This window comes from Homo sapiens, chromosome 14 (assembly GCF_000001405.40).
Source record: "Homo sapiens chromosome 14, GRCh38.p14 Primary Assembly".
NCBI lineage: Eukaryota > Metazoa > Chordata > Mammalia > Primates > Hominidae > Homo > Homo sapiens.
The window spans coordinates 61,706,105-61,723,035 of record NC_000014.9 but is presented as its reverse complement, the minus strand read 5'-3'; the positions used below and the strand labels follow the sequence as shown (position 1 = coordinate 61,723,035).

The following is a 16,931-nucleotide window of genomic DNA, read 5'->3' as shown; positions in this document are numbered from 1 at the left end:
AATTATGATCAGTATACACTGCTTAAGAAGGCACAAATGTGGAAAGACTTTCTTGTTTTTGTAATTCAAGAGGTACTTTCCAAAAATCTTAGAACACATGATTTTTTAAATAATTATGATCAGTATACACTGTTTAACAAGATAAAAATGTAGAAAGACTTTAATTTTTTAATTCAAGAGGTAGTTTCCAAAAAATCTTGGAACACTTGATTATTTTTAACAATTAATTCCTAAGAATTAGAGGTCTTACTCTCTATTTTTGTTAATATGTGGGCATCCACAATGTAATACTTTATAATCTAACTACACGGTCTCGAATTATTGAGAACATCCAAAGAAGTCAAATAAGCAGTTGTTTGTCTTAAAATTCTGGTGAACTTTTTTTATTGGGCCTTAGACTCAAACTGGCACCTCAACTTTAATGACTGTCTAAAGTCCTATTATCTGCCATTTGTATTATAATTTCTCCTTGCCTTAATGGTGTATTTTAATTTTTAACTCCACCAGGTGTGGTGGCGCATGCCTATAATCCTAGCACTTTGGGAGGCTGAGCCAGGAGGATCACTTGAGTCCAGGAGTTTAAGACCAGCCTGGGCAATACAGCAAGAACCCCTATCACAATTTAAAAAGAAAAGGAAAAAAAAGGTAGCCTGGGCGTGGTGGCTCATGCCTGTAATCCCAACACTTTGAGAGGCCGAGGTGAGAGGATGGCTTAAGCCCAGTAGTTCAAGACCAGCCTGAGCAGCATAGTGAGACTTTGTCTCTACAAATAATTTTTAAAAATTTAGCTGGGCATGGTAGCACGCGTCTGTGGTCCCAGCTAACTTGGGAGACTGAGGTGGGAGGATCGCTTGAGTCCCAGCGGTCAAGGCTGCAGTCAGCTGATTGTGCCACTGCACTCCAGCATGGGCAAAAGAGCGAGACCCCATCTTAAAAAAAAAAAAAAAAAGTTATTTGTAACTCTCTTGGTCATGATTTTACTTTTCCATTTTATTTCTCACACCCACACAATTATTTATGCAATTAGGTGGGCTTTCAAAATGAAATTCCTAAAAACTAAAATAATAGTTTTAACAAAGAATAGACATTTTATTAAACATGAAATAACATTTTGCCTTGGGTAAGTACAATAGCAAAGTTTAATAATTAGCAATAGTATCTTATTATGTAAAACCACCTGTCACATTAAATCAAACAACAGACTTTTCTTACCATTTCTGTGTGTAAGCATTTCTCTCATTTCCTCATGGTCACATGGATGAGTAAAATCAAACACACTGTGTCCAGTTAGTTCAAACTGTAAACACATTTTTAAAAATTAGGGCTAGATCATAAAATCATAAAAACATATAGAAGAGCTCTTAATATGTGTGCATTTTACCTGAGTTAATCCCATGTATTTGTTCACATTATCAGAAATGTAAATCATGTCACCATCATCTGTGAGAACCATAACAAAACCATCCAAGGCTTTCAAATAAAAGCAATTCATCTGTGCTTTCATGTCATCTTCAATATCCAAATCACCTAAAAAGGGCACAAGAAGAGGAAAATAATTAGTTAAAAAGTTGTACTTAAATGATATAATATTTAGATGTTTTTACAAAGTTTTCTCGCAGACACTTTATTTAATATATACAGCCATTTCAACACAGAAAAGTGCAGGCCAGAAGCTAGAAAAACTATAATTAGATGTGCCAGCTGCTTTTCATGATTAAAGTAATGCAGCAAAGCAAACCATAGAAGAAGAAAGAAGAGTAATGTTTTTTATTTATTTATTTATTTTATTATTTTTGAGATGGAGTCTCACTCTGCCGCCCAGGCTGGAGTGCAGTGGCTTGATCTCGGCTTACTGCAAGCTCCGCCCTCTGAGTTTAAGCAATTCTCCTGCCTCAGCCTCCCTAGTAGCTGAGATTACAGGCACCTACCAGCGTGCCCATCTAATTTTTTATATTTTTGGTATATATGGGGTTTCACCATCTTGGCCAGGCTGGTCTTGAACTCCTGACCTCATGATCCACCCGCCTCAGCATCCCAAAGTTCTGGGATTACAGGCGTGAGCCACCGCGCCCGGCCTGAGTCATGTTTTTTAAAGGAAGAAAGGTAGATGGAACAGGAGAAAAAGGGGGGAGGGGAAAAGCCAGTATCTTATTCCTGACTAAAGCTTTAAAAGCAGGTAATAAAAAGGATGTTATATTAGAAAAGAATTGAGAGTATGTTTAAGAGAATAAAGCAAAACAAATTATGTGCATAAAGAATGATTATTTCAAAGAATAACTGATGAGAAAAAAATGAAGCTTGATAAAAATAGTGAGAATTACAGAAAAATTTTTAAACGTGTACATATCACAATATAAAGAGGTATACAAAATCAAAACATTGCGACCACCTTCTAAAAATAATTTCTATTTACTTCTAACTTCTAATTTTCAGGCCTATTTATACCCTTGTAAAATAACTCACCAGCATCCAGAAGTTTCCTCACACGCAAATAGCTGATGGTAAGCCTCATCACAGAGGCCTTATCAAGATGCGAACTCACATTATGTGGAAGTGGCAACTGATGAGCAAGCTCATAAAAAACTTCAGATTCTTTACTTCGCCGAGATCTGGCTGCATCTCGAGACTTTTCTTTTCGACGTTCAGAACTTATCCTACTTAACAACAACAAGAAAAACACGAGATGGAAAGTGTATACAAGTTAGTTTGCCTTAACTTGAATAAAACTTTACATTTCTGCTTATCACAGAAGGATTAGAAGATGCCATGTAATTAAGTTACATGGAGATTTGTCTACTAGATTAATGTACTTTTATAAAGGGCAACTATACAAATTTTGGATTACTGCACACATAAGGAACTCTCACAAAAAGTCCAAAACCAAGCTTTAAACCTGTCGGAAGCAGGTGTTTCCTCCCCAGCATATGTAATTGGAGAGAATGTTTTTATTTTAGGCAAAAATTTAAAGTAGCCTGTACATCTAAGGCTGTACTTCATAGAATTCAAAAGTAGTCTCAATACAGAGAAACCACGATTAAGGCTAGAGAAACTACCTAAAGTTGTACATAATAACTTGAAAACAGGAGTTGTTAGCAGGTAGAACGGTAATAGCTACAAACTGATTTCTACTTGTTTCTTTAGACTCCAGTACTTTCTCACCCTTTTACCACATGAATAACACTGACGATAAGCTATAGGAACTGACATTAGCAGCTATAAGCCAGTGCAGGTTGCCTCCTCCCTTAGCAGCCCCTTATCTATTACTGGCACAACAGGTGCCAAATAAATGCAGGAATATGGAAGAAAAAAAGCTGTGGCACACACAATATCCAGAATTTAGAGGGATAGGTTAGCAAAAATAAAGGTGTCAATACAATGACATATCTTCAGGGAACTCTTCCAAGAAGGAAATCAGAAAGATTTTCATTGTCACACCAAGCAAAAGCTGTCTTCCTTTGCTTAACTGCCTAGTGACATCTAATAGCTTGTTGAATAGCAACAGTTTATTAAAGGTTACCATGTGCCAACATTACCCTGTACTAGGTGCCTAGTTCTCTCACAACCTGTAAATAGGTTAAATATTGTCCCTATTTTACAAATGAGGGAACTGGCGTTCAATAGGTTAAAAGTAGCCATTATGTAGCAAATAGGATTTGAACCCAGGTGTTTTAAAGTCTTTGCTCTTCCACAGTATTTCTCTTCTTAATGGGGAATGCTGCTTCTACTTTAAACACTCACATGATCTCCTATGCCCCTCAACTCACTCCTGTTAAATAGATTCTTCACCAAATGTTAAAAACAGCTATTATGATTTAGTGAGCATTGGGCAGTATGCTAAATAAGGACTTTTAGCCAGCATTATTTTACTTAATCCTCCTTACATCCTGTGAATGAAGTACCGAATTGTCTCCACCCCAAATCTCTCCTCCTTCCAAATGATCTGCAAAGTTGAAAGGTACAACCATAGAAGCAACATTCTGGAGTAACAAGCACAGTTCTCAGCAAATGCTCTTGTTACAATATAACATGTTGTATTGTGACAATACTGATACTAGTTTTAGTACTTACTCAAGTTTGTGTGTTTATAGGACTTTTATACTTTAATAAGGAATGTAAGCATGTTATTGAACTTTGATAGAAAAATTTCAACTCAAGCATCTAGATCAATTTAACTTGAGTACCTTGAAATTTACGGTGAGCTATTAAAAACTATTATCTTCATCTGGTTAGATGGTGGAGGAAAAAAAGGAAGAAACTATTATCACTTAAAACTAGTTATATGAATCTATATGAACTATAACTAGTTATATGAACTAGGATTTTCTCAATGCTGTACAATAAAAAAAAATTAGTCACTGAGGCTACATGAAAATGCAAATGCCAGCAGTCTGTAATTTTTTCATTTCACTGCATTGTTCTCTGTAAATGTTTTCAATTTAAACTTAAAAATAAAACGTAAGACTTGATCTGTATAAGCAGAAGAGTAAAATAAAAAAACAAGTATGATGATAATAACTCCAGCATACACTGGAGTTCCATACACCATTCCCAGGATGGGGGGGTATCTAGCAGGTCCCTATTGGCCCTAACAGAAAATCTCTCACTTCCTCCCCAACCCCCTTAAGTTGTAGGTGACAGGCAGTGATAGCTGTGGGAAATAGATTTCTATCTGGTTCAAATAAAGCCTCTAAAATAGAGTGATGGTCAATTATCTCTTGTTAAACCTGAATATTAGTTCAAATGCCACAATCATTCCAGGCGTTCTTTGTTACCTAGGCTGGTCTTGAACGCCTAAGCTCAAGCAATTCTCCTGCCTCAGCCTCACAAAGGGCTCAAATTACAGGCTTGAGCCATTGTGCCTGGCCAAAGTGTTCAGAATTTTATAAGCAACTTACTGTATTTTTTCTGAACCACTCAACTGATGTAAACTACCAATAAATGACTACCCAAATGAAACACTTGGTGAAAAAATTGAAAACCTTATAATATGTGCTATATATGCTTTTTTTTTTTTTTAATGGAGTTCTGCTCTTGTCACCCAGGCTGGAGTGCAATGGCAAGATCTTGGTTCACTGCAACCTCCACTTCCCAGGTTCAAGCAATTCTCCTGCCTCAGCCTCCTGAGTAGCTGGGATTACAGGCATGTGGTACCATGCCAGGCTAATTTTTGTATTTTTAGTACAGACAGGTTTCACCATGTTGGCCAGGCTTGTCTCAAACTCCAGACCTCAAGTGATCCACCCGCCTCGGCCTCCCAAAGTGCTGGGATTACAGGCGCGAGTATATGCTTTTAAAGGGTATCCAATCAAGCTAACTATGGTGATGGAATGTCTCCAGTTCCTCTGTAATACACGTATCGTCCAGAACTTCAAAGATAGCAATGACTATCTAAGGAGTGGCAATAAGTGTCTAAGACAAATCCATTAGAAATTTGAGGTTAGATAAAGCATCTAAAGGACAGTATATTTAAAAGCTAGTGTAGACTGAAAATAAGACTGAATTTTGGAAGAAAACCAGCCTTCAAGAAAACAACTAATATAGAGTTGACAAACCTATATTAGATGAAGGTGATAAAAATTATTATGTCCTTTATCACACAATGAGTCTAGACAGAAACCAATCAAGGGATCTATAATAAAGATTTAATGGAAAAATCTTCATGATATTCTTCATATGTGACTACTGGAGGTCTTATAACATTTCTAAGTAAGCTTAAAGCTTAAAGCTAAAGCTTCTGAAGTTCTTGTGAGTTTCAGCATTTAAACTGCCCGGCTTCTTGTCTAGTCACAGGAAGGCTAATTTTATCAGTTTTATACCACAGAATTACAGTACTGACCAAGAATTATTTGTTAGACCAGGGGGTCTAGGTCCCACAGAGATGAATCCTGTACTATTTGTTTTACTGCTTACATTGCACAACAGAAGATATGTAGATCAGAAAGAAGTACATTTTCCACATGCAAATAAGGTCACTATATTTCTCTAAATTTTATAAATTGCATCTGTTTTGTTTTTAAGTACAGGTCAAGTGAAGTTCTTCTGCTGATATGTTCTGCTACTGCATAAGGTACTATATTTCAGTTAAGAGTACAGTTAAAACAGTTTGTTTACCCATTTCTACAACTGTTCTAGAACTAAAGTTGGAGTATACTACTGGCAAAATAGCTCAATCTTTGTGGTATTGTAGTTTTTACATGCTTACCATTTTATTATTTAACATACAGTATTAGACACAAAAGTAACAATTATATCTTGAAATTATTTTGTATAGGAAATATATTTAGAAAAATAATTTTGAGCCCGTCTTATTAAGCTTCTTGTGTACAAAGTTCATGAATAAGCAAGAGTTGTTTTATAGAGAATGTCTATTGTTCTTCAGATTAAGAACATAAAATATTTAGTGCTTTGTAGTAGGTCAGTAAAAATTAAAAAAAAATAAAAGGACACAAAATAATTGTAGGCATTTAAAGTCATCTTTTCGTATTGCACAAAAAGCCTGTTAGCATTCCTAATTGTAAAAATATGTGACTTCAAGAACTGAAGTTAAACCATAACTATTTAAAATGTGAGCAGATTATCAGATTTACTTCTAATAAAGTTAATGTACCTCAATTATGTTATTTGGTGAAATAACTCTTTCTGGCCTTGAAGGTACAAGTTGGTTTTTGTTGTTTTTGCACTTGCGTCAGTATTTCTACAGGACTGACATTCTGAAGTGAAATTTCATGATATAAAAAATGTGCTACTGAAATTTTTTAAAATACACAATAGCTTTCCAAATGGTTCTGTGCCCATTTTTGTCTCTGCCAGTTCATGAATGTGTATATCAATTCCCCCATGCACTCTGCAATATTATATATTACGCATCTTTTTAATCTTATTAATTTCTGCTGAGCTGATAGGTGAGAATTATATCTCATCATTTTAACTGCCCTGCACTTCTTAAAGTCTCAGGCCCAAGAAAAATGCAAAGAAAAGTTCATGTTCACTCTTCAGTTGGCATTTTTGCCTGCAGTTTTATTTTCATTTTATTTTAGAGACAGAGTCTTGCTCTGTCACCCAAGCTGGAGTACAGTGGCATGATCATAAGCTCACTGCAGCCTCGAAATCGTGGGCTCAAGCAATCCTCCCCCTCCCTACCTCAGCCTCCCAAGTAGCTACAGGCACACGCTACCATGCCCAACTAATTCTGTTAAATTTTTTGCAGAGACGGAATCTATGTTGCCTCGACTGGTCCTGAACTCCTGGGCTAAAGCGATCCTTCTGCCTTGGCCTCCCAAAGTGCGAGGATTATAGGTGTGAGCCACCCAACCTGGCCTTTGCCAGTATTTTTAAATCCAAACACCTATGCATGGTGCTTACTAATAACACAGTGGTATTCTAAACATTTTTCACCTATTATTTAATCTTTATTATTATCACCATGTTACAGATAAGGACCCTGGCTAAATAGCTTACCCAACATTACTCCGTTAATAAATGGTAGAACCTGTATTTCACTCAAGCAGTCTGGTGTCCACGCGATTAACACTAGACTATGTTGTCTCTCAAAAACTCATCCTGATTACCAAGGCAAGTATTTGTAAGTCTAGGCTATTATTATAAAGTTCGAAATTTGCCTACTTCACATGCCAAAGACATAAAGAAGGAATTATAGGAGTTGGCTTCAGAATTTAGGACTTGACCTAAGCTATTCAGAGAAACTCAGAACCAGGCTCTTTCTTGGAGTTTGCTTATAAATCCAAAATCCTAACTGAAAGGCACCTACAATGGTAATAGATGCTCTCTGCTCTACTGTCCAGCAGCTCTTCAAAGCAAGGTAATCCCTTCCGGTAATGCCAATCATTATGGCGAAAGAGTCAAAAGATGGTAATTCAGTCTATACTCCCAGTAGACTTTATTTGTACAGAGCAGCTATTTCAATATCTAAGTTCAACATTGTTGGTGTTTTACTTGCTCAACATTTGTCTAGCAGTCACAGAAACTGTTTTTTTTTTTCCTGAGACGGCATTTCACCCTTGTTGCCCAGACTGGAGTGCAATGGCGCGATCTCGGCTCACTGCAACCTCTGCCTCCTGGGTTCAAGCAATTCTCCTGCCTCAGCCTCCCGAGTAGCTGGGATTACAGGCGTGTGCCACCACGCCCAGCTAATTTTTGTATTCTTAGTAGAGATGGGGTTTCATTATGTTGGCCAGGCTGGTCTGGAACTCCTGACCTCAGGTGATCTGCCCACCTTGGCCTCCCAAAGTGTTCGGATTACAGGCGTTGAGCCACTGCGCCTGGCCCTTCCTTGTTGTTTGTACTCATTTTTAAAGTTATTCTAACTTGTATTAGGCCAAATTAATGAAGAAAGGCTTAAGTTTTTAAAATATTAAAAATATTTTAGATCTATACCTAAAGCTAACACACATACTATAATGATGCAGTCTCCTAACATGAGGTGATTTTCTGAAACTAACTGGTTTTTAAGTGGGAAGGGTTTTGTCCTCCAGAATTTTGTATAATGGTGGCATAAACACTGGAAGGTAACTCTCAAGGTCTAATCCTCAAGGTTTTTAATTCCATCATTTCCCACAGGAAAACAAATGGAAAATCCACCAAGTTCTTGGTTTGTATTTTGCAGCATATTTGAAGGAATTTTAGGAACTGAAATACCAGCAAACGAATAAACAAAAAGTATAACACCATCAGTACTTACTAAAACAACATCTCACATTTCCATAAGAGAATTCAGTTACTGTTCTTTTTCCTTAAATGGCTTTGAGCATTGTCTTGCTGTTTGCATAAGACTGTTTACTAACCTGAGTGTTTTCACAGATTTGGGAAGCTTAGATTTTTGAACGTTCCAGCAAACATTCAATTTGGTGTCAGCTTGACATTAAGATATACTCCTTACACACAGCTCTACTCTATATTTCACAATGTGCTCAGTTAATCTACTTTGATTCTATTTTTATAAATCTAAATAATCTCCTATTGTTTTGGAAAAAACTCTCCAACAGCTTTTTTCCCCCCTCTGCTCCCACACCACAGCAATCAACAACACAGAAGACAACTTCTGCAACCCTATCGGGAGAGGAGGGGTTCTCTCCACCACCAGGTGAGCAATCAGTTCTGCAGCGGACACCAACTGGGTGTCCTTCAATTCAATTCTAACACTATCTACCTGGAGACAGTGTCAGGTTGAGGGCTCAGTCCCCAAGACTGCCCCCTCAACAGGAGTTGCAAGTCTGGCCTCAGGAACTTCTGACTGACAGGCTTCAAAAGTTGGGATTCTCACAAACCCATCTTTGCTGGAGCAGCTCACAGAACTCAGGGAAACATGTTTACCAGTTTATAATAGAGGATATTAATAAGGATACACATGAAGAGATGTGTAGGGCGAGGTATGGGAGAAAGGATGCATCTATCAAGTACCATGCACTGTGCTAGGTACTAGAAATATAGTGAGAAGTAGAATAGCCTTTGAGCTTAAATGGCCTCCCACTCCTTAGTCTACTGAAATAGTCACCTAATGCTTTATTCCCAAATGCTTGTCTAGCTGCATCGTGAAGGACATTCAACATTTCAAATTCCTAGGCCTCACTGGGAATTTGAATCTGTAAATTCTGATTCAGTAGATCTAAGTCAGGATCCCAAAATCTGAGTTTTTAAAAACTTCCAAGATGCATATGATACGTAAGTTTGGGAACCACTAGCTGATCATTATTGCTAACCACTGTTACTCTGCTTTAATTTCTTTCTGAAACCATCACCATAAAGATCCTTCCGAAGTAAAGAAATTTGGCATTATGGCCTGATTAAAATCCCATTAAATGTACACAGGACAAGGTCTAATTATTTAAAAGGAAGCCCTCCCTTACCTAGTTCCCTGTCCACCTCTTTATCCTCATCATTTTCCACATTCTTCAGCCACACTGCAGTTACTCAAAAGCACCATAGTATTTCCTTTCTGGCTTGCTTACTCTACTCCTTCTGCCTGGGGTACCATTCCCAATATGTGGCTTGGTAAATTTATAAGAGAAACTTTTAAAGATTTAATTCAAACATCATTTTGTTTCTGTTTTTTTTTTTTTTCCTCTGGCTTCCAAAACTGGTCCTCTCTGGTAGAACTGATCACTCTAGTTATTTGGCTATATTAATCTTCCTTCACAATGCTTAAAGATTCTTGGGGGCAGGAAACTGTCACACATTCATCTTTGTCTTCTCAGTAGTGATGTGCGTAAGTTTGACTTTGACATATTTGCCCCAAATCTGCTATGACTTTGATTTCTGGCACAGGAAAAGCTGACTGCCCTTTCAACATTCTTTTTGGGAATCCCTGATTTGTGCTTTATTAGTGCTCCTAATCATAATTAACCAGCATATCAATGTTAGTACTATTAAATAAACATAATATTTGAATTTACTACAATTATCTGGATATGCATTTTCAAGTATAAGCAAGCATACTAGATATAAGTTACAGTGAAAATCTTATATTCTTTTGTCTCCCTGTTTCTTTGCACCCCTGTAATCTTTTTCTGTAACAGCAACTAGAATAATCCTTTTAACAAGAAATCAAGTCATATCACTCCTCTCTGCTTAAAATGGTTTTTGCCTCATTTAGAGTAAAAGCCAAAGCCCTTCCAATAGTCCATATGGGCCTCCACAATGGCCTCATTACCTCTTTGATCTCACCTTCTACCACTTTGCCCCCTTTGCTCATTCTGTTCTAACCATACTAGCCTCCTTACTGTTCTTAAAACACTTCAAACACATTGCCTCCTAGAGCCTTTGCACTAGTTGTTCCCCTTGCCTGGACTACTGCTACCCTAAATACCCACAAGGCTTGCTTCTCCACCTTTTTCAAGTCTTTGTCGCAGTCTCACCCTCATTGAGATTCCCTGATCACTGCCTCCATCTTGGTCCTCTTGCCCTGCTGTATTTTTATGAAAGCCTAAGTACATATCTTACTTGATTATTTTATTTTCTATCCCACCAATCCACACCTTCACTGGAAAGTAAGTTCCATAGAGGCGGAGACTTTTGTCTATTTTGTTCAATGAACATCCCAAGCACCTAGAACAGTTTCTGACACATAAGAAGTATTCAATTATGTGCTGGCTGAATGTATGAATTAATAAGTTGAGATTCGATCACTAGTTGAAGTATAAATATATATTTTTGCAAGAATAAATGCTACAGTAACTGATTATGACAGCTAATTCTGTGTACAAAAACAACCATTTATTTATCTAGCCAAGTTCCTGGCACAGAAAAGCAGCTTAGTAAATGTTAACAAATGAATCGTGGAATAAATGTGAACACAGGCAAACACAGGCATTAGCCACAAGGTAAACATCAGAGCCAGCAGAGCCAGCAGTGTCATCTTCCTGAAGTAGAAAAAAACAGCTATCAATTAAAACAATCACCCACCAGTATAACAATGAAGAGTATCACCATAAACCAAGGCAAATAAATGATCTTGCCAGGAAAGAGATTTAGAGGTGTAAAGAGAGAGCTGAGAAACTAGAAAGCCAATTTGCTGAAAAGAGGTTCAGTGTTTAAGATTAGTTCCCTTATCGCTTTCATCTACACTCATGTCTTTTACTGTTTTGTCCTAAGCAAATGTGGTCAGGAAAATGTGTGAGTTATAGTTAATGTTCTTAACCAATCAAATTACTAGCCGAGTGTAATGGTGCACTCCTGTAGTTCCAGATACTCAGGAGGCTGAGGCAGGAGGATTATTTGAGCCCAGGAGTTCAAGGCTGCAGTGAGCTGTGATTGTGCCACTGCACTCCAGACAGAGCAAGACACTGTCTCAAAAAAAAAAAAAAAAAAAAAAAGGAATACTTAAACATCTTTATCATCTTTATGTTTTCCGAACCCAGGCAGAAACAGGAGTTTACTAACTTTGGTTTCCACAGTCTTTTTCAAGAAAGTGCTGTCACGAAGTTTTCATTAAGTTGATACCTAATCCTATTGCCTTTTTTTTTTTTTTTTTTTGAGACAGAGTCTCGCACTGTTGCCCAAGGCTGAAGTACAGTGGTGCGATCTCCGCTCACTGCAACCTCCGCCTCCCAGGTTCAAGCGATTTTCCTGAGTAGCTGGGGTTACAGGCGCCTGCCACCACACCCGGCTAATTTTTTGTATTTTTACTAGAGATGGGGTTTCACTATGTTGGCCAGGCTGGTCTTGAACTCCTGACCTCTTGATCCGCCTGCCTCAGCCTCCCAAAGTGCTGGGATTACAGGCGTGAGCCACCGCGCCTGGCCAGCTTTGTTTTTTTAAGGAGGGTTACTTTTAGACAAGTATTTTATATGTATTATTGGAAGTATTATTAATAGGATCTGTTGTTACATTTTCTATCTAGTAATTGTTGCAAAACCAGAATACTTAAAACATCACATGTAATTTTTAAAAACCCTATCTCTACTTAATGGAAAAAATAGCAAAAACCTGACATTTCAAATTAAATATAAATTACATTTTCAAGACAGCTAGCAATCTATTATTTTATCTGGGAAAATATCTTCTGAATTCTAATCAATAAACTTTAAAAATAAACCTTTAGGATACCCACATGTTAGAGAATGTTATTGATGTATTCAAAAAATATTTCTTGATCATCTTCTATGAGTCTAACACTCTTCCCAGAACAGGACACGGTGCAATAAACAAAACAGACCAAGTCTCTACCTTCACGGAGGTTATCTTATGGAACAAATGTATTTTTACATTGCTTGTTGTTATCCAGCAATATTTTACCAGGGTCAATCCCTAACTGACAAAACACGTCACAGAAATTGTCTTTCCATTAAACCAGCTACCACAAAATTTCAGGATAAAAGCAAAGTCTACAAAAATTAATCTTTGCTTATACTAGATGCTACAATATAGTATTATATGAACAGAGCAGGCTATACAAAAAAAATTGAGTATGATTCCACTCCTGTGTGTAATGTATGTGTATAAATATAAACATATGTAGCTATACACACATATAACTCATAGATGCACAGATAAAACCAGAATACAGTGATATACAGTGTTAGCAAAGTTTACAAATATTAACTAGTTTCAAGATACCAGGATCACAAATTTTTTGTAATTTATTTTAACAAAAATTCACCATGAACTGACACTATCACTGTACCTGCATTTGTCAAAAAACTCTGAAAGAAGTAGTAATCTAACTTGAACTATCATATTTCTTTCCTACTGTATATCCTAAAGAAAAGTATAGACTGAACAGGCAATATAATTCAGTATCTTCAGTTTCTCATGCTAACCTAATTTTCAAATTTTGAAAATTCTGTATAATTAATTTGAAATTCAAAAAAACAGATGAAATGGTTTGTTTCTAAAGAAAAATGTTCAGAATGCATACACTTATTTTATTTTTGAAAGCAACTAAATTTCTTGGTTTAGATCATTATTATCTAAACGGCACAACAACATCTCTCTTAAATATCCATAATTAAAGAAAAGATGGATTTATTCACCTTCCAAACCTCACCAAAATGCTTACTTTAAATGTGATTTTCTAATGCAGTAAAATAAACGGGGAAAAGAATCACTGTTTTACATTGGAGGGTTCCTTCTGAAAATGAAATCTATATCACATCTGAAATAGCCATAATGTGTAAATTTTTCATTTACATGTTAATTTATTAAGTAGCTAATACTTTTCCATGTGTTTACATTAATGTGTATTGAAATATTACTTGTAAGAAGAATGTGCTTTTTGTTTTTAGATTATTCCTGACTAGTGATATAAATAAAATCTTTCCTGGTCCAGAATTGGTGTTGAGCCTCTCAACAAATCTTTGAGCCCTGATTATATATAAGGTATTGTGCCAGGTGCAGTGGCTCACGCCTGTAATCCCAGCACTTTGGGAGGCTGAGGTGGGCGGATCACCTGAGGTCGGGAGTTCGAGACCAGCCTGACCAACATGGAGAAACCCCGTCTCTACTAAAAATACAAAATTAGCTAGGCATGTTGCCACGTGCCTGTAACCCCAGCTACTCGGGAGGCTGAGGCAGGAGAATCAACTGAACCTGGGAGATGGAGGTTGTGGTGAGCTGAGATTACACCATTGCACTCCAGCCTGGGCAACAAGAGCAAAACTCCATTTCAAAAAAAAGAAGTATTGTGCTAGATAAATAAAACAACAAAAATGTGTATGTAAAGTTTTTACTCTAAGATGAAGGTTCTCAAACGTCAGTTTTCATCACAGTCCCCTGGAAGAATTCTCAAAACACAGAATGCTTGCCAAGTCAATCCTAAGCCAAAAGAACAAAGCTGGAGGCATCACACTACCTGACTTCAAACTATACTACAAGGATGCAGTAACCAAAACAGCATGGTACTGGTACCAAAACAGAGATATAGACCAATGGAACAGAACAGAGCCCTCAGAAATAATGCCGCTTATCTACAACCATCTGATCTTTGACAAACCTGACAAAAACAAGAAATGGGGAAAGGATTCCCTATTTAATAAATGGTGCTGGGAAAACTGGCTAGCCATATGCAGAAAGCTGAAACTGGATCCCTTCCTTACACCTTATGCTAAAATTAATTCAAGATGGATTAAAGACTTAAATGTTAGACCTAAAACCATAAAAACCGTAGAATAAAACCTAGGCAATACCATTCAGGACATAGGCATGGGCAAGGACTTCATGTTTAAAACACCAAAAGCCATGGCAACAGAAGCCAAAATTGACAAATAGGATCTAATTAAACTAAAGAGCTTCTGCACAGCAAAAGAAACTACCATCAGAGTGAACAGGCAACCTACAGAATGGGAGAAAATTTTTGCAATCTACTCATCTGACAAAGGGCTAGTATCCAGAATCTACAATGAACTCAAACAAATTTACAAGAAAAAAACAACCCCATCAAAAAGTGGGCAAACGATATGAACAGACACTTCTCAAAAGACGACATTTATGCTGCCAAAAGACACATGAAAAAATGCTCATCATCACTGGCCATCAGAGAAATGCAAATCAAAACCACAATGAGATACCATCTCACACCAGTTAGAATGGCGATCATTAAAAAGTCAGGAAACAACAGGTGCTGGAGAGGATGTGGAGAAACAGGAACACTTTTACACTGTTAGTGGGACTGTAAACTAGTTCAACCATTGTGGAAGTCAGTGTGGCGATTCCTCAGGGATCTAGAACTAGAAATACCATTTGACCCAGCCATCCCATTACTGGGTATATACCCAAAGGATTATAAATCATGCTGCTATAAAGACACATGCACACGTATGTTTATTGTGGCACTATTCACAATAGCAAAGACTTGGAACCAACCCAAATGTCCAATAATGATAGACTGGATTAAGAAAATGTGGCACATATACACCATGGAATACTATTCAGCCATAAAAAAGGATGAGTTCATGTCCTTTGTAGGGACATGGATGAAGCCGGAAACCATCATTCTCAGCAAACTATCGCAAGGACAAAAAACCAAACACCGCGTGTTCTCACTCATAGGTAGGAACTGAACAATGAGAACACATGGACACAGGAAGGGGAACATCACACGCCGGGGCCTGTTGTGGGGTGGGGGGAGCGGGGAGGGATAGCATTAGGAGATATACCTAATGTTAAATGACGAGTTACTGGGTGCAGCACACCAACATGGCACATGTATACATATGTAACTAACCTGCACGTTGTGCACATGTACCCTAAAACTTAAAGTATAATAAAGAAAAAAAAAACACAGAATGCTGAGCCTTACTTCCAGAGTTTCTGATTTATGAAGTCTGAATGGCGCCTGAGAATGTGCATTTCTAACAAGTTAGTAATGCACCAACTAGGTGTTACCAATGATGATAATCTGGGGACCACTCTGAGCCCCTCTGCTCTAAGAAGATACTTAACGTGTTCTTCAAAAATGCCCAAAGAAGTAAAAGAGCAACGCTCAAAACTAGTTTGTTACATACTTTTCTCTTTAAAAAACCTACCCAAATGCTTTACAAATACAGGAAATATATCCACCTCCTAAGACATTAATACACCACATACTTAGAACTTAGTAATTATAAAATACACTAACTACACTGACTAGACTATTCAATGGTTGACCTGTGGTATATATCCACAATCATCAATAGAACTTTTTTCCCCCAAATATAGAAGGCCAAATCCCAACCCTGGAAATTCAAATTAAAGGCTTGGCACATCTGTTTAAAAAATAATATCAACATAATCCTGATGAGCACTCTTAGCTGTTTAAAGTCTATGTTTCATTTCTGAGTGCTTGTAAAATTTACAGATCCCTGAGTTCCATCCCAAAATTACCAAATCAGAATCTCTGGCGAATGGGTCCCTGGGAATCCATAGAGCAACTAGACACTCAGGTGATTTAACCACAGAAGTTTGAGAAACATTAGCAGGTCTTAAAGCAAAAGCTTAACAGGTAGGCCAGCAAATTTTGAAAAACGAGAATAATTTATTTTTAGCTATAACTGAATACACATCCTATAACATACCATGTTTGTCAGGCAAAACACTGAATATAGTGAGTTTCACAATACTATGTAATGTGAGGTATAATTGCTAAGAATAAGAAGCTAGCAGTAAAAGTCAATAAGCCAGCAAGAACAAGTGTGCGTTTAGTAAAACTTTGCCTTAAACACGTAAGTGCATGAGTAGAGTTCAAAGATGACCTAAGGAAGAATGTGGCAACTGAATTTTTTTCCAGTTCTCTGAAACAATTTTTTAAAAGTCAGCTTTTAATACCTTCATGAATGTCACAAACATTCAAGAGTGAAGAATCACTGTTCATGGTTAAGAGCTGTGTATCACTGACTTTCCCCAAATTACCTACTCTATCACTCTTCTTTCTCTGCATTGCTTCCTTCTCAGCTTGTAAATCCTTTTCTTTCTGTTTCCCTTATTTATATGCTCTTAGATGG

The 16,931-nt window shown here is 37.2% G+C and overlaps 1 protein-coding gene and 1 long non-coding RNA gene across 4 annotated transcripts in view, besides 1 other annotated feature; one reads left to right on the top strand and one right to left on the bottom strand.

Annotated features, from left to right (window-relative positions):
* HIF1A-AS3 (HIF1A antisense RNA 3) overlaps positions 1-7,478 on the top strand; it is a 35,540-nt gene extending 28,062 nt beyond the window's left edge. The window contains exons 2-3 of the long non-coding RNA NR_144368.1: positions 6,019-6,067; positions 7,208-7,478. This is a non-coding gene — a long non-coding RNA (HIF1A antisense RNA 3). The remainder of the gene's footprint in view (positions 1-6,018; positions 6,068-7,207) is intronic.
* HIF1A (hypoxia inducible factor 1 subunit alpha) overlaps positions 1-16,931 on the bottom strand; it is a 52,746-nt gene that overhangs the window by 25,223 nt on the left and 10,592 nt on the right. For 2 of the 3 annotated variants that reach the window (NM_001530.4, NM_181054.3), the window contains exons 2-4: positions 2,464-2,654; positions 1,382-1,527; positions 1,213-1,297 (exon numbers count right to left, since the gene is read on the bottom strand). In NM_001530.4, the coding sequence (NP_001521.1) occupies positions 1,213-1,297; positions 1,382-1,527; positions 2,464-2,654 (422 nt within the window). Of the gene's footprint in view, positions 1-1,212; positions 1,298-1,381; positions 1,528-2,463; positions 2,658-16,931 lie in introns of all 3 variants that reach the window. The other variant, NM_001243084.2, reaches the window with a different exon arrangement.
* Positions 3,248-3,297: an enhancer, noted in NCBI's record as "active region_8501". NCBI's record gives its function as "activates an Ori minimal core promoter by ATAC-STARR-seq in GM12878 lymphoblastoid cells {active_cell/tissue: GM12878}" and the evidence as "EXISTENCE:reporter gene assay evidence [ECO:0000049][PMID:35858748]".